The sequence below is a fragment of the Homo sapiens genome, chromosome 18 (assembly GCF_000001405.40).
Source record: "Homo sapiens chromosome 18, GRCh38.p14 Primary Assembly".
Lineage (NCBI taxonomy): Eukaryota > Metazoa > Chordata > Mammalia > Primates > Hominidae > Homo > Homo sapiens.
The window spans coordinates 48,625,975-48,649,295 of NC_000018.10; the positions used below are offsets into that span (position 1 = coordinate 48,625,975).

General features: G+C 48.5%; 1 protein-coding gene across 23 annotated transcripts in view; it reads left to right on the forward strand.

Moving 5' to 3' along the window:
- Positions 1–23,321, forward strand: part of CTIF (cap binding complex dependent translation initiation factor) — a 324,187-nt gene that overhangs the window by 86,944 nt on the left and 213,922 nt on the right. For all 23 annotated transcript variants that reach the window (XM_047437960.1, XM_047437965.1, XM_017026100.2 and 20 more), the window contains one exon: positions 10,640–10,711. In XM_047437960.1, coding sequence (XP_047293916.1) covers positions 10,640–10,711 — 72 coding nt within the window. The remainder of the gene's footprint in view (positions 1–10,639; positions 10,712–23,321) is intronic.

Consider the following 23,321-nt stretch of genomic DNA (forward strand, 5'->3'; position numbering starts at 1 on the left):
CACATTGTCTTATTTCTTTTTCTTTCTTTTTTTTTTTTTTTTTTTGAGATGGAGTCTCACTCTGTCACCAAGGCTGTAGTGTAGTGGCGCGATCTCAGCTCACTGCAACCTCCCCCCACCGCAGGTTCAAGCAACTCTCCTGTCAGCCTCCCGAGTAGCTGGGACTACAGGCACATGTCACCACACCTGGCTAATTTTCGTATTTTTAGTAAAGATGGGGTTTCACCATATTGATCAGGTTGGTCTTGAACTCCTGACCCAGGTGATCCACCTGCCTCGGGCTCCTAAAGTGCTGGGATTACAGGCGTGAGCCACCGCGCCCGGCCACATTGTCTTTATTTCTAATGAAATTGAATTACCAATCTTTTTATTTTCTTTTTTTCTTTTTTTTTGAGATGAGTCTTGCACTATCGCCCGGGCTAGATTGCCATGGCATGCTCTCGGCTCACTGCAACCTCTGCCTCCCAGGTTCAAGTGATTCTCCTGCCTCAGCCTCCCAAATAGCTGGGATTACAGGCGTGTGCTACCACGCCTGGCTAATTTTTTGTATTTTTAGTAGAGACGGAGTTTCACTATGTTGGCCAGGCTGGTGTCGAATGCCTGACTTGTGATCCCCTCCCATGGCCTCCCAAAGTGCTGGGATTACAGTCATGAGCCACCGCACCTGGCCGTTTTTTTTTTGTTTTTTTTTTTTTTTTGAGACAAAGTTTTGCTCTTGTTGTCGAGGCTGGAGTGCAATGGTGTGATCTTGACTCACTGCAACCTCTGCCTCCCGGGTTCAAGCGATTCTCCTGCCTCAGCCTCCCGAGTAGCTGTGATTACAGGTGCCTGCCACCATGCCTGGCTAATTTTTTGTATTTTTAGTAAAGACAGGGTTTCACCATTTTGGCCAGACTTGTCTTGAACTCCTGACCTCAGGTGATCCACCCTGCTCGGCCTCCCAAAGTGTTGGGATTACAGGCGTGAGCCACTGTGCCTGGCCACCAATTACTTTTTAATAGGATAAAATTTTATTTTCTCAAAGTAACAATTGGAAAAACAGAGGCAAGTGAAAAATGGAAAAAAATCATTTTATGGCAACTAATATAATTTTTGTGCATCATTTTTTAAACATCTTTTACAAAGTTGTACTTCTAGCATACATGTAAGTTTTATGATCTGTAGGTTTTAATGATCTCCTAGACATTGTTTGGTGGTGGTTTTTAGCATAAAGTGTAACTATTTAAATTTGCTCTTTTTCTGCTAGGTGGTAAAATATAATAGAATGAAAGCTAACATTTATTCATTCAGGCTCTTTTGTAGGCTCAGGGGGCAAAGTCAAGAACAAAACAACCATGATCTCTGTCTCAGTTTCTCACAGGGAAAGACAGACAATAGAGGGAGAAGGAAATGGGATGTTAGAAGGTGATGAATGCATGAGGGAGGCAGGAAGTGAGTGGGGAAGGCTCGCTTAGGAGTGAGGATTTGGGCAAGGTGACTCACGCCTGTAATCCCAGCACTTTAGAAATCTGAGACAGGTGGATCACTTGAGCCCAGGAGTTCGAGGCCAGCCTGGGCAACATGGTGAAACTCAGTCTCTACTATAAATACAAAAATTAGCTGGGCATGATGGTGCATGCCTGTGATCCCAGCTACTGGGGAGGCTGAGGTGGGAGGATCACCTGAGCCCAGGACCCAGAGGTTGCAGTGAGCTGAGATCACACCCCTTCACTCCAGCCTGGGCAAGAGAGTGAGACCCTGTCTCAAAACAAACAAACAAAAAACAGAAAGAAAGAAAAAGAAAGAAGACAGGGTTGGGGGGGAGGGTGGGGAGGAAGGAAGGGAGGGAGGGAGGGAGTGAGGATTTGAAGGAGGTGAGAGTGAGGCCACCTGGGAAAGGGTATCCAGGCAGAGGGAGTGGCCAGGGCAAAACTCTGGTGTGGGGCATACCACACAGTCAAACGGGATCCCTCTGAATGCTATGTAGAGAATAGGCTATGGTAGGGGGTCAGCAAGAGAGGAAGCAGAGACCAGGAAGCCGTCTCCTTGCTGCAGGGGAGAGGCAATGGAGACTGGGGCCGTGTGGTCACTGGAGGTGATGAGATGCCTTCAGAGTCTAGGTATGCTTGGAAAGTGCTGACACTGTGATTGACCCTGAAGATTTTAGCCTGAGCAAATAGGATAGACTTTGCAGAAATGAGCTATGCAAGACCCTGGAAGAGCAGCTCTGGGGGGCAAAGGTCAAGAGTCCCGTTTGGGCATGAAAGGTTTAAGATAGTATTAGTCACCTTAGAGGAGATGTTGGTCCACCAGTTCGATGCACATTGGTGGTGTTCAGAGGAGGATAATGAGCTGGGTGCTGCTTTAAGCCCAGGGGGTGAGGAAGTTTACAGGAGAGGATCAAAGATTGAGCCTTGACTTAAGAAGTTGGGGAGATGAGGAGGAAGTAACAAAGGAGACTGTTTGCATTGTTTCTCACATGTTAACTCATTTAGTCTTGAAGATGTTGTTATTATTACCATCTTACAAGGGAGGAAACTGAAGCACAGAGAGGTTGACTTAAGCTTCCTGAGGCCACACAGCAAGTACATGGCAAGACTGGGGTTTGAAACAGGCAGCCTGTCTCCACGTACCATCCACTTATCCTCTCTGCTATTGGTAGACCTATTATTATTACAGATGGGGGAAACTTCGTCCTGGGGATGAAGCGATTTGCCCAAGGTCATAGAGTAAGTGGCGGAGCTGAGATCTGAATTCAGGACTCTCTGCTTCAAGAACTCAAGCTCCTAATCACGCAAGCATTCTCTACAACAGGAAAGTTGTTTGTTCCTTAAAAGATGGGAGCAAAAGCCTCCCTCTCTCTCTCTCAAATCTCAGCCATCAGCAGCATCCTGTCCCTCTTAGCACAGGTCTTTTCTAAAATATCACTGGATAGAGAATGAGCTGCCAGCCAGCCTTGGGTCCCACATCAGGGTCTTGGTTCTCCTCCCCATGTCAGTAAGCCCATGTGCCCAGGAGAAAGGAAGATGTCATGCACACTCCTGTCTTTGAGAAGTTGGGTCTTCAGGCTAGCAGGATTCTGACTGGGGTCTGTGAGACTGGGAGGAAGCCATTTCCCTTCAGCCTCAAGTCTCCCTTCAGGGAAATGAAGGCATTGGTGAGAGCCCTGGTTGCATTGTGCAGCCCCCACCTGGCACAGGTTTTACACACAGAGGTCACATTCCACCACCACCTATGCATTCAGACACTGGGGAAGACCTGGCCTGTGGACCCCCAAAATCCCCCCTGGGTGTCTGACGCCACCCTCGGTTAAGAAGCCCTGGGTAAGATGACCTTTAAAATAACTATGCATTTTGAAATAATTTCAAATATACATAGAAATTACAATAATAGTGCAAACAATTCTTGCATATCCGATTAACATCTTACTACATTTGTACCCACACTCTCTCTCTAAATATATCTTATGATATATATAATTTATACATATAATTGTATGTAAAACTTCTTTCTAAATCATTTGAGAGTTAGTTCCAGACATGATGCCCCTGTATCCCTTGACACTCCAGTGTGTATTTCCTCAGAACAAGGACATGATACAGTATAGGAAATGAACATTGATAGAATGCTGTGATTAAACCTACAGCTCTTTCAGCAATTTTCCCAGTAATATTGTTTAGAGCAAAAAAAAAAAAAAATTGGCTGTGATCTTTGTCTAATCCAAGATGACATATTGTGTTTAATATCAGTCATTTTTCCTGGGTCTTTGAATGATCCCTATTTCTGTCCTTTGCTCATGCTGCCACTTTTTGGCTGTGTATTCCTGGGTGAGTTACTTAACCACACTGTGCTTCAGTCTCCATGTTTGCTAATTAGAGAAGGTAAGAGTGCCTCAGCAGCCATGAAGAGTAAATGTTAGTAAGTGCAATGGACTTAGAACAGTGCCTAGATTTAAGAGAAGTCTTTATATAGTCTGGTGATTAATTCTTTGCTACACAGCAGGCTCCCCTTATCCACTGTTTTGCTTTCCATGGTTTTAGTTACCCACGGTCAACTACAGTCCAAAAATGTCAAATGAAAAATTCCAGAAATAAACAATTTATACATTTTAAATTGTATGGCATTCCAAGCAGTATGATGAAATCTCATGCTGTCTCTCCCGGGACATGAATCATCCCTTTGTCCAGCGTTTCTAGGCTGTATCCTCTACCTGCGCGTCACTGCCCAGCCCAGAGTCACTGAGCAGACATCTCTGTTACAGGATCACAAACAGATGTAGGGCTTTTTACCACCCACGGTTTCAGGCATCCACTAGGGAATCTTGGAATGGATCCCTCAGGGTTGGGGGGGTGGGCGACTGTGCATGTTGCAAGTAGCTTCTCACTTGTCTTTATTTGTTCATGATTTCTTTTGTCGCTTAGAAGTTTGAAATTTTGATGTAGTTTAAAATTTGCATCTCAGATTTCAATCACCTTGGAATGTGTTTTCCAAGAATAGTGCAAGGCAGATATCTAAGGTCAATTTTTCAATGGCTGGGTGGTTGTCTCAATACCATGTATTTATTGATGAGTCTCTCCCTCAATTCAAAACACAATCCTTACCTATATGAGGTTCCCATTTGTACATTAATTTGCTTGTGGGTGCAGTTTTATCAGTTGATCTGCTCTTTTATTCCTGTACTGGTTCAACAGCTTTTTTGTCTCTAGCTTTTTTTTTTTTTTTAATTAATTTATTTATTTTGAGTTGGAGTCTCGCTCTGTTGCCCAGGCTGGAGTGCGGTGGCGCGATCTCTGCTTACTGCAAGCTCTGCCTCCCGAGTTCATGCCATTCTCCTGCCTCAGCCTCCCAAGTAGCTGGGACTACAGGTGCCTGCAACCACGCCTGGCTAATTTTTTTGTATTTTTTAGTAGAGACGGGGTTTCACCGTGTTAGCCAGGATGGTCTTGATCTCCTGAACTCGTGATCCACCCTCCTCAGCCTCCCAAAGTGCTGGGATTACAGGCATGAGCCACCGCACCCAGCCCGGGCTCTAGCTTTATGAGATACTTTGATATCTGGTAGGGCTGGTCTCTTGGAGGAGTTTTAGGCACCACTGAAATGGGGGCCTGGTCTAGCTTTAGCACCTCCAGCCTCCCACACTCTGAGCTTCTTGCTTCTCTCTCCTCCTCCTCCAATGCTCAGTACCCTGGGGTCTCCCCAATCTTTCCCAATCTCTGCTCATAAAACACTGGCCGGGTGTGGTGGCTCCCACCTGTAATCCTAGCACTTGGGAGGCCAAGGCAGGTGGATCACCTGAGCTCAGGAGTTTGAGACCATCCAGGGCAACATGGTGAAACCCTGTCTCTACTAAAAATACAAAAAAATTAACCGGGTGTGGTGGAGAACGCCTGTAGTCCCAGCTACTTGGGAGGCTGAGGCAGGAGAATTGCTTGAGCCCCAGAGGGGAAGGTTGCAGTGAGCCAAGATTGTGCCACTGCACTCCAGCTTGGGCCAGAGTGAGACTCCGTCTCAAAAACAAGACAAACAAACAATAAAACACTCTTCATCCTGGGATGTAAAGACAAATAGCTTATTTTCATTGTTTTTTATTGTGAAATACTTAAGATGGACTGATAACAGAGAATAATAAAATGCACATCTATTTTGAGTGGAGAACAAACACCTGTACTCTCATGTTTATTAAGTCTTAACCCTGTGTCATGTTTGTTCCAGGTTTTTAAATTAAGACACGAATTTTAATAGCTGTGGTTGAGGCCTTTAAACCACTCTTGTGAATTTGATGCTCATCGTTCCCATATCTAACAAACTTCCCACGTTTCCCGCCTTTCTGTTTGATGACCTTTTCAAGTAAGACACCACCTTTACCCCCAAGAGAACTTAAAGGTTCAGGAGGCTCAAAGCTGTAAGCCTGTTTGCCTTGAAAGGGAAATGTGTGGGATTTCAAGCCCTGGCCCGGACTGAGGAGCGGGTCTGGAGAGGTGGACCCTTCTTCATTCTTGACTCATCTCCTATAGATCAGGACAGGTTCTGGGGAGGTCCATTTCTGGAGATTTTCTAGGCGGTGTCTCAGAGAAGGCAAACGGGAGGCAGGAGGTGGTGGTGCCTGTGCCACAAGAAGCTGGTGTTGAGAGCAGAATCCCAGCAGGGATGGGGAGGAACTTCGGAATAGGGAAGGGAGGGCTACCAGAGGGCCTTTAGGGCCAGGGAAGAAGCGTGTCTCTGATGGAGGGGATTCAGGCAGTAGCCCTGGACAGGTTGCCTCTGGGGCTACTGCTGGGCTGGGGTTTGAGATGGAGCCCCACAAGCCCAGTGGGTAGAGCTTGCTGTGCTAAGTGTGATCATTCACACTTCACTCCTCCCCATTTACACAGTCACACGCAGGGCCACAGTCCCTCCTCCTGCTGGGGGTTGTGCCCGCCTCCGGCTTTGTTGGGTCTCTGGAATGAGGCTCTGTGGACTCCACCATCTTGCTGGCTTTCTTGTGCACAGATCACCCGCTTTGCCTGCTGCTCATCTGTTCCACACTCTGAGATCCACTGCTTCATTTCCATCTCTACCACCACTGCTAATGAACCCCAATGTGGGACCCTCCTTCCCCACTTCCCCCCTGGGCCAGTTCAGCCTCCCCTAACAGAAGCCTTCAACCCCTGCATATGGAGGAAGTGTCTCTGAGTTCTTTAGCCTGACAGCCGCCATCTGCCCTAAGCTGGCCACGTTCTACTGAGCCTGTTGCCCCTCTTGGGCACCTCACTCTTCTCTGGGAACCCTGGGTTGCCTGCTTTTCCTCCCTTACAGCCCCTGCCGAGAGCACACTCTTCTTCATCTCAGCCGTGCCGTCCCCACCCCCCTCTCATTGCTGTTATTTGACATGTCATCTGACCTCTCCTGTGTGGGGACACTCTTTGTTGAGGGCCCCACACAGAAGGCACTCAGGAAGTGACTTTTGGTTGGCAAATGTACAGTTATGGATGGCCTTGGACAAGGCAGAGCAGTCTCGTTGGAGCTTGGAAAGCTCACCAAGGAGGGTAGGGTTGCATACGGATGTGCACGAAGCCTCAGGGTCTGATTTGTGCGTGCCCATCAGGAGGCCCCATCCTGCCAAGGCCCGTGCTGACCCTGGAGAAGGTGTGTCCCCCGTGAGTCACCGTGCCGTGGAATATCACACCAGCACTACGCAGCTGGGGTTAAAATGTTCAGGATGCCTGGAAGGGGAGAAGCCTTTTTCTGAGAGGTCACCTAGGATGGGATGAGGAGTGCAAGCATGGCCTCATGTTCCCTCCAGCCAGTGGGCACTGTGTGCCTTGGATGTCTCCCACCTGTCAGCCAGGCTCCAACCAGGGAAGCAGAAACTACTCCAATATATAAAGCAGAGGGATTATAGTTACAGTACTTTAAACATTATACATACGTATGTATATACATATACATATGTTTATGTGTATCTGTATACATTATTCTAAAAATGTGGACTGGACATGGTGGCTTATGCCTGTATCCCAGCACTGTGGGAAGCCAAGGTGGGTGGATCACCTGAGGTCAGGAGTTTGAAACCAGGCTGGCCAACATGGTGAAACCCCATCTCTACTAAAAATACAACAATTAGTTGGGCGTGGTGGCGGGCACCTGTAATCCCAGCTACTCAGGAGGCTGAGGCAAGAGAATCGCTTGAACCTGGGAGGTGGAGGTTGCAGGGAACCAAGATTGCGCCACTGCACTCCAGCCTGGGCGACAGAATGAGCCTCCATCTCAATAAATAAATAAATAAATAAATAAATAAATAAATAAATGTACATATATACTTATAGTTATGTATGCATGTATTTTACGTATGTATGAATACATACATATTAGTTTTTGTTTTGGAATTATTTTAGACTTATAGCCAAGGTGCAGAATGGAACAGGGTGTTCCCAAACACTTGTCACTCACCTTGCCGTAATATGAACACCTTACATAACTATAGAACCATTATCAGAAGCAGGAAATTAACATTGGTACAATGCTCTTAACTAGAGGCTTTATTCAGATTTCACCAGTTGTTCCACGAACGTCCTTTTCCTGTTCCAGGATCCAAATTTGCATGTAATTGCCACATCTCCTCTTTCCCTTCCAATCTGATATTTTGTCTTCTCTTTTCTTTTACAACCTTGACACTTTTGAAGAGTTCTGGTCAATGCTTCTGTAGAAAGCTCATTAATTTGGGTGGCGTGATGTTTTCTCATGATTATGTCGAGAGGGTGCATTTTGTCAAGAATACCCCAGAAGTGATGTGCCCGTCTCGATGCACCACACTGGGGAGTCCATGATGCAGATATGTTTTGTTACTGGTGATATTAACCTTGATCACTTGGCTAAAGTGGCATCTGATGGTTTCTCATTTTTCTCTCCCCACTGACAGCCACAATTAATAAATATCTTGGGGGAAATACTTTGAGACTGCAATGATCCAAGCAGAGGGAATTTAATACAAAGAATTGATTACTCCTACCTGAGAAGCTCCACAGCCCAGAAAATGGCAACCTCAGGTAGCTAGTACCAACTCTTGACCTGAGGCTCAAAGAAAGAAGGTGTTGCCAGAGTCCAGGGTTCCCGGTCATGCATAGAAGCCTGTCTGGTGAGGCTGGAGCCAGGAAGGAGACCCAGGCACTGCTGGTAATGCTGCCTGAGGCATAGAGAGATGGGAGAAATGCCCTCTTCCTGTCTCCCATTGGCCAAGCCCAGCCAGAAGCCAGCTGACGTGGGAGCCTGGGAATTGTGGTCCGCAGGGGTCAGCCCCTCTGCAGTATAGTGGGGATGGGCAAGGAGTGCCTCTGACACCGTTGCCACTTCTCTAGGGCTCCACTGACCCTTATGGTAGCCACAGGCCACGCATGGCTCTTGAAATGTGGCTCATCCAAACTGAGGTGTGCTCTAAGTGGATTTCTAACACGGAATGGAAAGAAGAATGTAAAATATCTCATTAACAACTTTTCATATTGATTACCTGTTGAAGTGATAATATTTTGATGTATTAGATTAAATATAATATATTATTTCATTTAATTTTACCTGTTTCTTTTAAAAATTTGGCTACTAGAAAATTTAAAATTCCGCCTGTGGTTTCTGTGTGTGGCTCTCATTTTGTTTCAGTTGGATAGTGCTGCTCTAGGGTACACTTCTACCCAGCCTATGTCAACAACATTGTAAGAATAACATCCATCCTGGACAAAGGTCATACCCTTGAGCCATGCTCAGGAGGGCATGTCCAGCCAAGGTTTTAGAAAGCCAGGACTGCACTGGCACACACTCACAGCTCTGACCATGTCATCAAACATACAGAGACTGGGCTTCCCTCTGCTTTTTCTTTTTTTTCTTTTTCTTTTTCTTTTTCTTTCTTTTTTTTTTTTTTTTTTTGAGGCTCACTCTGTCACCCAAGAGCATTGTGCATTGGCACGACCACAGCTCACTGCAACCTTAAATTCCTGGGCTTAAGCAATCCTCCAGCCTCAGCCTCCCAAGTAGCTAGGACAGCAGGTGCATGCCACCATAGCTGGCTAGTTTTTGCTTTTGTTTTAGTAGGGACAAGGTGTCTCTATGTTGCCCAGGCTGGTCTCAGACTCCTGGGTTCAAGTGATCTCCTGTCTTGGCCTCCCAAAGTGCTGGATTATAGGTGTGAGCTGCCTGGCCCTCCTCTGCTCTTTATGTATCATGCAGGGTGTAGGTTAAGGTCAATATTCAACAACTTCAGCTCCGGAGGCTACCTAATGTTTAATACAATAGTAAAAACACTATCATATACCTGGATAGCATTTGACAGGAAGGGCTATATGACTGCTACTGCATTGTATCTATACAGTGTTTTTATAGCTCACAAAGGTCTTTCATCCCAGCCTCCCAGCCAGTCACCCAGCATGGCTCTCCTCATTTTATAGATGACAGAATGAAGCCTGAGAGATCACATGGATTTCTGTGGCTCCCAGACTCCCAATGCATCCCTTGGGGAGCTCGTCAAAATGCTGATCCTCTGGCCCTGGCCTCACAGAGTCTAATTCAGTGGGTAAAGCCTGGGGCCCAGGGACCTCCATGTTGCAGACTCTGGGGACTCTCGTGCAGATGGTTGTCAGACCACACTTTGGGACACAGCAGCCCTCTGAGTTCTCAGGGGATGTGAGTGGCAGGGCTTGTCTGAGCCATGCTTCTAATAGCCAGGTTGGGCTCTTTCCTGGTGCCAAACCCATCATCTTTTGGAGCTAGGCTTCTAGGAAGACCAATACATACCTGCCTCACTGCCATCTCTGGCCACACCCGTGATGTAATAGAGGGTTAGTGTGGCTGAAGCCAGGTCAGGCGGTCAAACATGGTGCTGGTTGTACCAAACTCAGAATAAGTTTTGTCATATCTGGCTGACTTTGGGATATAGCCAGTCTTTGTCACTGTGCTGGGCTCAGGTGAAGGGAAGTGAGTTTGCCTCCCCCAAGCGGACACCAAAGCTTCATCTTGATGTGGAGCTTGATGATGCCAAATTGGGTCTGATGGTTGAGAAAGATTTGCATTGAAATGGCCAAATAGGATTCCACAGTCATGCTAATGGGGAAGGCCAGGGCACAACTCCTGCAGCCTGGCAGAGTGAGCATGGGCCTGGCTGTCCTGCCGTCACTGATCGCTCCTTTCTGTTCTGCAGTGGACAGCGGACTGCAGCGAACCGCTGGACAGCAGCTGTTCCTTCTCCCGAGGGCGAGCCCCCCCACAGCAGGTAGGGAACCAGCTCTGCGCTCTGTCTGGGGGTGTCCTATGTCTTGTCTGCCTGGGTTCCTGGGCCGGCCCACAGTGGCTCCTGAGGAGTGGTGACATGGAGAGTGCAGAGAGGTGGGAGAGGGGAGGGGGCATCTGTTCCCTGGAAAGCCCTCCCTAACTCCCTGCCCACAGGGAAGCTCCCACTCCCCCAAACTCATCGATTGATGAGATTTCTTTTTAGTAGCTGCGTTCTATATATTAACACATATCTGGAAGCAGCCCAGATGTTCACTGAGGGGAATGGAGAGGTGCCTTGGGATCCATCCTTACAGTGGAATATTACACGGCTCTCAAATGACTGCACTGAGGGTTCAGGTACCGACATTGCAGCCCCACAAACAATGGGACTCGGCATTTTGATGCTGGTGGGTGCTTTGGATATCACTTCTGCTCCAGATCTGCAGAAGGCCTGGGAGGGGCAGCCTGTGGGGGAGCTGTCAGAGACCTGTCCATCCCCCCAGCCAACCAACAGTCCTGGGACCCCGCCAGAGCCTGCCACCTTTCTCCCTGCTGCTTGCGGTGAGGTCCTGAGAGGCTTGTGGGTGGGTTGCATGGCTGGGAGGGAAGGGAGGCAGCTGCTGCTCTTTGAGAGCTGCCCTGGTGACCCCCTGGCCCTCCACCAAACCCTATGGTGGTCCAGCTGTTCTCACTGATACCTCATCCCTGCCTGCAGGAGCCTGTGGGATTAGAGGCTGAAAAAAACATGTGTCCCCATCCCGAGTCCAGCCTCCGACTATGCCTGTCTGGAAAGCGGAGGGAGCCCCTGCAGGCTCCTGCGAGGGGCCATGCCTGGTTTCAGAGCCGCTGCAGTCATGGGTTGCCCTGGGCCTGCTTGCTCATGTTCAGCTTCAGTCCACTTAATCATGTTCAGCTTCGGTCTCCTGGCAGATTCACCCAACTCCTCTATTCTGTCCCGAGAGAAGCTGGTCAGTGGCCTTGGTTCTAGATCTTTCTTAGGCTGTAGGGCGTGGCTGCCCCATGGTGTGGAGGGACGGCTGCCCAGGATGGTTCTTTCACGTGACAAAATGTGCTTGTACGTCTTGTTTCTTAAGAAGGAGGCCATAATAAGAGCCCCGGGGGTGGGGGGTGATGGGAGACCTGGAGTCTCGTTTTTGTTCTGCCGCAAACTTGGTGGCAAACTCTTCCTTCTTGGGTCTCAGCTTCCTCACATAAAACCCAGAAGGAGCCTCGACGGCCTCTGAGGGTCCTTCTAACATCTCCGTGCCATTTGCAGATGAGGAAACTGAGTCCCACGGAGGTGCCACTTGTCTGCCCTCCTCCCCATACGGCACTGCTACCTTGCCCAACTGCAGGAGGTGGCCTTCTAGGGGGTGCCTCTGTCTCTGCTGCCTCCCTGCCTGGGACCCCATGTTATGCTCCCTGACCCCCTAGCTTTTGGTCTAGGCCCTGCTCCTCAGGGGCACTGTCTCTAGCTCCTGCCAGTTATTCTGGGGTCTCCTAAAAGGAGATTCCCCTCACTCTTCAGCAGCAATGGTGAACTTGGATTTGGGGACTCAAGCACCAGAGAGAGGCTTTCAGGAAGTGCTTGAAGCTCTTGGATGGGAAATAAGAGGTTTGTCACTGAGAGCTCTCTGCTGTTTGGTCAGCAGGTGTCTGGTTCTGGAATGTTCCAATGAAGAGTCCTTTTTCCTCTCCTCTTTACCATCTTTCTGGGGGCTTGTCTGCTGTCTTTCCCCTCTGGTCCCCTTCTCCACATCACTCCTGATAGGGTCTCCAGGGGTTCAGGAAGTGTTCTACCCCCTTTCTCCCCTCATCTGCCTCACCTCCCGCACCCAGCTGTCCTCTCGGGTCTGCCTTCCCCACCTGCAGGAGGTCATGTAGGGGTTCGCCAGATAATATGGGCCCATGGAGCAGGGCTGGGGGCTTGTGGAGTGGGGTTAGGTATGGGCTTGTCCCTGCTCCAGGCACCCTAACACCGCAAGGAGCAGCTCACCCCAATCTCACCTTCAAGAAGCAGCTGAGCAGTTGACTCGGGGTACGCAGTGTTTGACAAAACGAAATATAACTCAACTTAAAAGTGAAGTTGTGAAAAGCTCATATTAAATCCTTTCTTGACAGGTGGAACTGAGACGTAGCTTCATTACAGGGGAGGAGCCCAAGGAGGGTGGAGGACAGGGTCTCTGCATAGAACCCCACCTAATCACCTGACATGCCCAGAGGCAAGGTTTTGTGGGAGGGACCTCCTACAGGCCTTAGGGGCACTGGCATTCCCATCACCCCTGACCTGCGGTGGCCGACTGATCATCTCAGAGGGAAGAGGGAGAGATGTCTACTTCCGAGAAGTGGAAGAGGGGCTGGGCCACTGAGGGACACCCCCTGCCACAGACATGTGTGCCTGGTGCCGTGTTGGTCTTGGGTGCAGAGTCTGCGACGCCCATGCCTGGAGAGCCGGCTGGGACGGAAGGGAAGGCTCAGTCAGAATGCTGGGTTTGCCTGAGTCTGGCGTGGGATGCACCACCTGTGCTGTATGAAATTGCTTACAGCCACGGAAACCTCTGAAGGTTGGAGAGGGTCTTTCAGGAGCGATTTCTTAGAGGTTTGTCAACCAGGAGTGTTTGCAGGGACCTGGTGCTGAGCTCCCGGTGGGCTTGAAGCCAGGGACCTGCCTTCAAGGGCGTCACTGCTAAGTGGGAAGGACAAGACACAGGTGTAAAAAAATGCACCCTGCACGGCATGAGATGGGGCCCAGGGGGCAGCCTGGAGTTCAGAAACCTGGGCAGGTGCACAGAGGAGGTGAGGGGGAGTTGCACCTCCTGGATGGATGGCCAAGGTTCAGACCTGGGTGCTGCAGGGGGAGGCAGGAGCATCTGTGGGCCTGAATTTACACGAGGTCTCCTGTGGTTGGCAGCACCTTGGTTCAGTGATGACAGGCTTTATTTTTAGACATCAGAGACTGAATTTATTAGGTACAAACAACAGGGTGGCATAAACAAGAGGAATCTTTATTTTTCTCTTGCCACCAGCCTGGATGGGCGTTTGGGGCTGGTGTGGTAGCCCAACAGTGTGGGGGCCGGATCCTTGCTTCTCACTGCTCTACCCTCTCTAGAGTGTTGCCCTTGGCCACGTGGCCCATGGTGGCTCATACCCACGTCCATGCATCTGCCCGTGGGGACACCCACCTGGGTTTCCTTCCCAGGAAACTCTGATTTCTGCCCACGAAGCAGCCATCTCCTGTTGCCCCCTACTGGAGGGATCAAAGCTGGGCGGCTTCCTTTGAGTGACGGCACCCCAAGGAAAGCCCCATGTAGCTGGCCTGTGGCAGTGTCCTTGTCACCCCTGTCATGCAGGGGCTCTCTGATGGAGGAGGACCCAGGCAGCTGCCCACTGAAGGGTGCCTTTGCTGAGTGCCACTCTGATGGGATGCTGCTGTTCCCTTCATCCTTCAAGGCTCCCTTCAGCCTGGCCCACCAGAGGCAAGAGCACAGGACCAGCTCTCGGGGACACCACCCATGAGCACCCCGGCTGGCTCCTTGCTGCACTCACGCGCCCAGGCAGACACCCTCACACTGACTCATGCTGTTGCCAAGCTGTTCCGCGCACACCTGCCTGTGCCTCAGCCAGCTGGTCAACCCTAAGACGGGAGTCAGGGCGGGCTCTACTTCCTCAACCACTTCTGGCCTAGGGCCTTGTACTCAGTAGGCACTCAATAGTGATGCCTGAGACTGCACTGAGTTGGCCCAGGCTCAGTCTGTGCAGTCATTCCCTAGTGGGCCCTTTTCCTCCTGCCACACCAACTTTGATGAGCTTTCTGGGGCCATCAGGATGATGGGAGAACACTGCTAACCCATTTTCACCCGTGGGGACAATTAGTTTCAGGGAGAAACTGAGGCTACATGGAGATGCGGTGGCTGGCTGCTCTGGTGCTCCTCTTGACTGCCCACGTTGGCTGCACATGTCCAGGAAGGTAGAGTTGGCAGGAAGATGCAGAGGTCCTGCATTCTGCCAAGCAACCTCTGGGTGGTGGGTCACAGACCATGCCCTGCACCAGGGCCCAGGGCCCAGATGTGGCCCCATTTGCAGATTAGTCATACACTGGGATGATTGATTCATCCCCAGCAGGCTTCCAGCCTCATCCTGTTTGTTATTTTAGCTAATGTCAAAAAGAAAACCTTGCTTTTTCTGAACCCTTTCAGAGGCAGAAAGTGGGGGCAACCTAGAAGAGATTGGGTCCCACGAGAGAGGAGGAAGAGAGCCCAGAGAGTGTAGAGCATAAAAAGGGCTACAGATAGTTCAGAAGAGGCTGACCAGCTGCCGGCAACTGGGATTCAGCTGTATTTGGGATTGCCTGACATCCTGGCATCCTCTTCCCAAAAGACTCACCCATCACCTAGTCATTTAGTTAGGACGTCAGACGTTTCCAGCTTTTTATTGTAATGGGGGAAATGTATAGGGATTGTTGAAATGAGAGACTGCAGCAGCAGTACATTCAGAAAGCTTTTCAAGGTGTTGGCATGGGATTTAGAATTCAGGAAAGAAACCAAATGCATGGGAAAGGTTGTATGGGGTCAGGAGTGAGCAGCTGTTTTCCATCTGCACAGGTGTGCCAAGAACAGGAAATTAATATGCACCACAACAGCACAGCCTCTGATTAGACTTGGGAAGGACTTCCCTTGACGGAAGGACTTGTTGGCCCACCGTGTTGGCTGTTAAGCAAGGTGATGAAATCTTTGCTAGGAACCTGATGAGCACGACTGCCTATCAGGCAGGTTCACCTGAAGCCCTGGGAAAGATGGGGGTGTGTCACAAATGATGACTTTGAGTTTTGACTGAGGGCCTATGATCCCAACATTCCCTGGAATAAGTGAAGGGCACTCTCTTGTTTCATCCTGACGCCCTGTAGCAAACAGAAGCATAAAGAGAGTCAAAGAGCCTTGTCCCAAGCTCCAGGAGAACCAGATGTTGACCCAGGAGTGACACTGGCTCCAAGCACCTATTCAGAAAAACAACTACACAGACTCCTTAGAGTCTCTCCAGAAATCTCTGTTTGCATTCTGTAACTCCGTGAAACACCCAACTGGATCCAAATCACTGCCACAGCAGGTCTGGGTCTTCCTAATTTCTCTACTGTTCCCCATCCCCTGATACCTTTGCCAACCTTCAGGCCAGCTATATGGGCACCAACATTGACTCCGACCCAGGGGATAACAGATGGTAGGTGGAGGAGACCCTCAAATACACTAATTACCTCTGGCCCCAGAAAAAGATGGAAGGAGTTTTCTGCAAGTCAACTTGCTACCCTTCAGTAATTATAGGATTTGGTTCTGTGCTAATTTAAAAAATAATTAGTGCAAATGATATCTTAGTAAAAGTGCCTACATTTTTTAGCACTTCCTTGGATACGTAAGAAATACCAGGTATATGTTCATAGTGCTGCTCTCTGTTTAGTTCGTATTTATTGAGTCCCTGCTGTGAGCCCAGCAGATGCGTCTGAGTGGGAGCTTCTGGATCACTGCCAGTTTGTAGGGTAAAAACTAGTTTACACAGAACAAGATGACAACATACACGTAAGATCCCCAAAGAGATGTCATCCTGGCCACAAGAACTGTGGTGATTCCAAAGAGTGGTTCAGTTGGTCTCTGTGGGTAGGGAGGTGTCTTGCAGGACATGAGGCCTGACCTATGCCTTTGGGAATGGGTAGGATGTTTGACTAGATGGAAGGGAAGAGAGAAGAAGATGAAGAGAGAAGACATGATGTTAGCAAAGGTTGAGTAGGGCACAGTGTTGGGATGTTAGAGTAATAGTTAGGAGGCAGCACAGCTAGAGGAGGATCATATTGGGTGTTACTCAAGTGGGGGGCTGAGAATGGTGAATGCAGAGGGGTCTGTGTGTGGGCTCAGATGTTGGAACCTCTGTCCAACCCAGCCCCTGTTGTGTGCCTTGAACTTTTTTCTTGTATCTTTCTCTGGTGTTCCATACAGGCAAAGTCTGTTCCCCTGTATCAGTCAGGATAGCCTAGATAATGCTGCAGTAACAAACAAGCCCAAATCTCAGTAACATTAACATTAAACAACCAACAACCAAACAATCCAAATCTTAGTAACATTAAACAACCAGGGCACAGCTTGGTGGGGCAGTTCCGTTTTAACCAGTTGCCATGACAGAGAAAAAGGAGCTCTGGAGGATCATGCATTGGCAGTTCAGTGCTCCAGCCTAGATACAACACTTGTCACTTCCGCTCTGAGCTTGTTACCCAGAACGGGTCATGTGGCCTCATCCAACCATAAGCACATTAAGAAGTACAACGCTACTCTGTGCCTGGAATGAGGGGAACCAGAATTATTTGGTGACTGGCTGGAATGACTGTCACATGCCCTATCTCTAGTAGCAGCTTCCCGGAGGCTGGGGCTGAACTTTTCTTTCCCTCTTCTTCTTCACCACCTCAAATCCTTGATGGAACTCAAGGATTAAACTTGTGGGGGCCTAGGGTAACGCTTAGCTCTCTGAAGATTTGCTGAAAAATCAACTTGTAAAAGGCAGATTAATAAGAGAAAAGGCATACACATTTATTTAACATGTATACATGGGAGGCTGCAGAATGAAGACCCAAAGATACAGGGAAAATTATCTATTTTTATGGTTAAGTTCAACAAAGTATGGACAGTTGTAGAAATGGGATTGGACCAAAAGGGCATGATCTAATGCTAATAGACAAAATGGGGAAACACAGCAAGGCCTGTCTGTCTAGACTCTCCCTGGCCTGTCTGTGCAGCATTCCTTCCTTCTGAGTTGGGGCAGGACCCTCTCTGGAATGGGGGTGTCATGACCTATAATCAAACAAAGCAGATCAGATAATTTATTTATGGCCAGTTTTTAAAAAGAAAGGCAGAGGGAGAATTAGAGCTCTATCTTTAGGTTTCATGGCTGGCTTTGGGAGAAAGAGGCTGTGGTTTCTCGTGGTGGGGAAGAGGGAGTCTAACTTCTATGGCTAGCTTCAGGGGAGAGTGAGACTGACAGGCAGGAGGGCAGAAAGTCAGAGAAAGACTTTTGCTTCTGAGGCTGCTGCTGAGGCCTTCATTTTGGGATATTGTTTTCTGAGCCCCAACAAACTCCCATGCACTGGAGTTTAAGGCCTCCAGTGAATTCTGAAACATCATGGGCTCTCAGATGGCAGGAAGCTCAGAGGTCACCTGATCCAAGTCCCCACCATGTTAGCAAAGGTTGATTTCCAGTAGCAGGGAGCATTTCCAGCAGCAGGGAGCTCACTGCTTCAGAAGGCATCTCAGCATATTGTTAGGCAGCTCCATTAATAAAAAAGTTCTTTCTTTGATTCAGCCGCAAGCCCCCTTCTCATTGCTCCAGCTGACGGTTTTTATTTAACTCTTTTGCTTGTGTCTTTTGCCTACTTACTTTCCTCAGCAGCCGAGCACGGCAAGTCTTTTTAAGCTAAATATCCTCTTTCCTGCATGAGGAATTGCCTTTGCTGTGGTTGGGTCATTCCTTTGTTTATTTATTTGTTCTTTCACCTATTGATCGGCTCCAATCAGCCAGTCATCACTGAGGGCTGCTGTACTCCAGGTTGGGCACTGGGCACTGGGATGGTGAGGAACATAGCCATGGTGGCTGTTTGCATGGAGGGTAGAGTGGAGAGAACAGATGCTGAAGCTGCAGTGAGAAGATGTCTGGGACATGACACAGTGGTCCTTCGGGCCTGGGTCACATGCCCAGGAGCACTAGAAGTGTGCGCTGTGATTCCCCTTAACATTCCTCCCAGAAACAAACATGGCACAACCTCTGTGCTCACCAGCGTGTATGTCTGTCTTTCAGAAAATGCCATCTGTCCTCATCCTCAAAGTGCCTTCTGGCTCCAGCTCACTTGGAGGAACAGGATGCCACACTTACTAAACAATGCTGACAACTAGCTCCTATAGGGAGAACCATCAGCAGCCATGCATTGGGTGCTTGCTGTATACATTCTGAGCCACATGGCCTGGTCTCTGCACTCAGGGAAGCTGGAATCTGCTTAGGGAAATAAGCTATTCTGGAGGAGATGGCAGCATGTGAGTATGGGGAGGAGTAGGCTGGTGTCCGCACAGGGCCTTGCATTGTAGCAGGAGAGGTGAGACATACAGGCAAAGTGGGAGCCGCCATGATGTCGCGGAAGCAGCATTGCACCTGGGTTTAGGAGATGTGCTTTCAGCCTGGGCTGTGCTTCCAACTTACTATTGGATCCAAACTTACTATTGGATCGTGGATAAGATACATTATCTCACTGCAGCCTCAGTTTCTGCTCTATAAAATGAGGAGGTGAACTAGATGTAAGGCCATCAAAATGTCTTGTTGAAAATATAGACCTAAACTTCTGCTTCTGGAAAATGCAATAGATGTTCTTATCTATATTTCTCCTGCTAAATACAACTAAAAACCCAAGACATTCTGTATAAAATGAACGTAAGAAGACTCGGAGAGGTGGAGGGAAGAAGGCAGACCTGCTAGGGTGCCCAGAACCTGAGGAACGACACAGCGAGGAGCTTGTTTTCTTTTTGCCTCATGTGTCCCATACTTGGCACTAGGAAATGCTAATGGACACAGGCAAAAAAAAAAAAAAATCCCAATAAAAAGCTGCTCTCTACAGGAAACGGACTAAGAAAAGAGAAAAAGATAGGATAGAGAAGAAGGAAAATGATAGGAAAAGATCTAGCAAAACAAAAAACTTTTCGACTGTCACTGCTGTACCCCAGCCAAACACCACAGAACACATCCCCACCCCCATCCATCCCAGCCAAGACCAAGTGGGAGCTCAGATCCCACCCCTGCTGGGCTATCAGAGGGGCTCCAACCCCCTACCAGAGTAGTGTCAGAGAAGGCCAGTGGGGAGCTGTGACTTTCGTCCCCGCCAACTGGTGAGAAGGCTCCTACCCACGCCCCATGGTGTCACTGGAGACAGCAGGAACCTGACTTGCACCCCCACTGGGCAGTATCGAGGTGTCCCTCTCCTTCCTGCTGGGGTGGTGTCAGAAATAGTGAGTCAGACTTCATAGACTCCCAGGGATGATGAGGCCAGCCCCACTGCATGTCAGAGGGGACCACATGGGGATCCGGAACTCCCACCTCCACCCAGCGGTGACAGCAAGCACCCCTGCGGCGTCGGAGGAGGTTGAGTGGGCAACCTGGACTTCCACTTCCACCTGGCAATAATGAGGCTGTCCCCTGCCCTTTTCCCCTGCCAGAGTGGTACCATGAAACACGAGTTAAAGCAGGAGGTTTAAATATGACTCTCTCATGAGCTAACATGAAAATGTCCTGGTTTCAATTAAAAATTGTTTGTCATATCACAAACAAACTGAAATAATCAATGGATGTTAACACTGAGATGCTAAATTGGACTTTATCATCATTAAATTTTTGCTCTGGGAAGGACCCTATTAAGAGGATGAAGAGACAAGTTACAGAGAGGGAGAAAATATTTGCAAAACATATCTGACAAACGGCTCGTATTTAGAATATATAAAGAACTCTCAAAACTCATCATTAAAAAACAATCCAATTAGAAAATGGACAAAATAAAGTGACATTTTTCACTGAAGACGTTTTTCCCTGAAGGTGATGTACAGATGGCAGATAAGCACACAAAAAATATGCAACATCATTAGCCATGACGGAGACGCAAATAAAACCCCAACAAGACATCACTATACTCCAATCAGAATGGTTAAAATAATTTTTTTTAAAGTGACAATGTCCACTTCAACTTGGCAGCATTAAAAAAAAAAAAGTGACGGCCAAGAGCGGTGGCTCATGCCTGTAATCTTAACACTCTGGGAGGCCGAGGCGGGTGGATTGCCTAAGGCCAGGAGTTCGAGACCAGCCTGGGCAACATGGTGAAACACCGTCTCAACAAAAAATACAAGCATTAGCTGGGCATAGTGGCACATACCTGTGGTTCCAGCTGCTCGGAAGGCTGAGGTAGGAGGATCACTTGAGCCTGGGAGGTGGAGGTTGCGGTGAGCTGTGATCAAACCACTGTACTTCAGCCTGGGTAACAGCGAGACCCTGTCTCAAAAAAAAAAAAGAAAATAAAATAAAAACAAAAAGGAAAGAAAAACTAAATGACAGCGTCCAATGCTGGTGAGAATGCAGAGAAACTGGATCACTCCTGCAGTAGGAGTAGGGATGTAGAATGGTATAGCCATTCTGGAAAACAGTTTGGCAGTTTCAAAAAAAAAAAAAAAAAAAAAAAACGAAACCTGCAAGTACCATATGATTTGATTGAGCAATTGCACTCCTGGGTGTTTATCCCAGAGCAATGAAAACTTATGTTCACACAAAAACTTGTACTCAACTGTTTGTAGCAGCTTTGTTCACAATACACAGAAACCTGGAAGCAGCTCAGGTGATCTTCAGCAGATGAATGGTTAAACACTCAGCAATGAGAAGGAATGAATGCCTGATGATGCAGCAGCCTGGAGGAGTCTCTGGAAATCATGCTGAGTGATTTTCAAAAAGCCAGTCCTCCAAAGTCGCATACTCTGCAATTCCATTTATATAACATTCTTGAGAGGGCAAAGTAATAGAAACGGGGAAGAGGTTTGTGGTTGCCAGGATGAGGGAAGGGGTAGGGGCAGGAGGAAAGTGGATGTGGCTATAAGGGGCAGCCTTGTGATGGTGGGAGTGTTCTGTGTCTCCACTGTATCAATGTTGATACCCGGAGATGCTGAGTTGGACTTCATCATAATTAAACTTTTGCTCTGGGAAGGATCGTATTAAGAGGATGAAGAGACAAGTTACATTGTGGCATTGAACTATACTTTCCCCATGGAGGGAAACTGCGTATAGGGCACAAGAGGTCTCTTTGTATTATTTTTTACAAGTATGTATGAATCTACAACCACCTAAAAATAAAAAGTGTAATTTGTAAAAAGTATAAAAAGTGTAATTTACAAAATACAAAAAGTAATTTGTAAAAAGTATTTCTATTTCCTCAGAACCTTACATGGAGATTCCACATAGAAACAGGAAAGGGATAGAACTGTTTTTAGGGGGCAAGGGGAGGAGCCCTGCCTGCTTTCTCCCCCACCCGCCCACCTCATGGCTCTTAGAACATCTCTGCAGGACTCCTAGGTCACCCCCCAGACCAGATGAGCTCTCAGCCTCTCCTGTCATGACCTTCTGTAGTTCTGAGTCTGGTACTGGCAGAAAAGGACAGAACTTTGGGGCCTGGGGAGTTCAAAGAAGGCCTCCCTGTGAGGCAACCTTGGAGGATGGGATGGTGTTGGAATGGGGGGTGTTGATTTTCCCCATCTCCTGGAAGCCTTTCCCTGGCAGGAGCTGGGGACAGTTGAGGAGGATCCCATTATTTCAGCAGGTTTTGGACAGGCAGCCAGACAGAAATGGCCTCTGGTGTGGCCCTGTCCAGGACAGGCTCAAATAGCATGGTCCATTTAAAACCTAAATCACAACCTTAATTAGCTGAGAGTGGGCAGAGGGTTGGCCTAGGAGAAATATACTTGGCCACAGGCATTATCATTGTCTCCTATCTCTCTCTGGCCTTTGGGTCTTAATTCAAAGAAAAAGGGAGCATGGGGGAAAAGACAGGATGGACAGACAGACACAGATGTCCCAGCATGAAAGGAATGGCCTTTCCCTCTCCCAGACTCAGCTTTAGTGCCACCCAGAAAGCTGTCTCTGCTGGGCTCTGCCCTGCTGTTCTCCTGCTTCAAAGGCCCCTTGGGGGTCTATTTCCCCCTTTCCCAGCTGTGTCTGGGGTGCCGTCCTTCGTTCTGAACACACACACACACACACACGCACACACACACACAAACACACACATGGTGTTGCCATGATAGGCCTGTTTCTCTTTGGGTTCTGCCCCCTGACACCTCCCCCTGTGCTTTCCCCCTCAGTTGCTCTCTGAGAAGATTCAACCATTCTCAAAGTCTGCTTTAGTTTGGGCCTGAGAGGAGTTTCAGATCTGGCCCATAGGAAGCCTCTGTTTTGGCCCAGGAGATGAGTCTGGGGTCCTCTGGTCCAGAACATTTCATGTAATGTAAAAGCCCTCATAGTGTCTCTCATATATTCCAATATAGAGTCACCAATGTAGTCCATGTAGTCGTGGGACCAGTGAGGAAACACAGGTCCAAAAAGCCAGAGTGAGGCTGGGCGTGGTGGCTCACGCCTGTGATCCCAGCACTTTGGGAGGCTGAGGCGGGTGGATCACCTGAGGTCAGGAGTTCAAGACCAGCCTGGCCAACATGGTGAAACCCTGTCTCTACTAAAAATACAAAAATTGCTCATGGACCCATTCCAAGATGGCCAAATAGGAACAGCTCTGGTCTGCAGCTCCCAGCATGATTGATGCAGAAGACAGGTGACTTCTGCATTTCCAACTGAGGCACCTGGTTCATCTCACTGGGACTGGTTGGACAGTGGACGCAGCCCACAGAAGGCAAGCTGAAGCTGGGTGGGGCATTGCGTCACCCGAGAAGCACAAGGGGTCAGGGGATTTCCCTTTCCTAGCTAAGGGAAGCCATGACAGATGGTACCTGGAAAAATGGGACACTCCCACCCAAATACTGCACTTTTCCAATAGTCTTAGCAAATGGCACACCAGA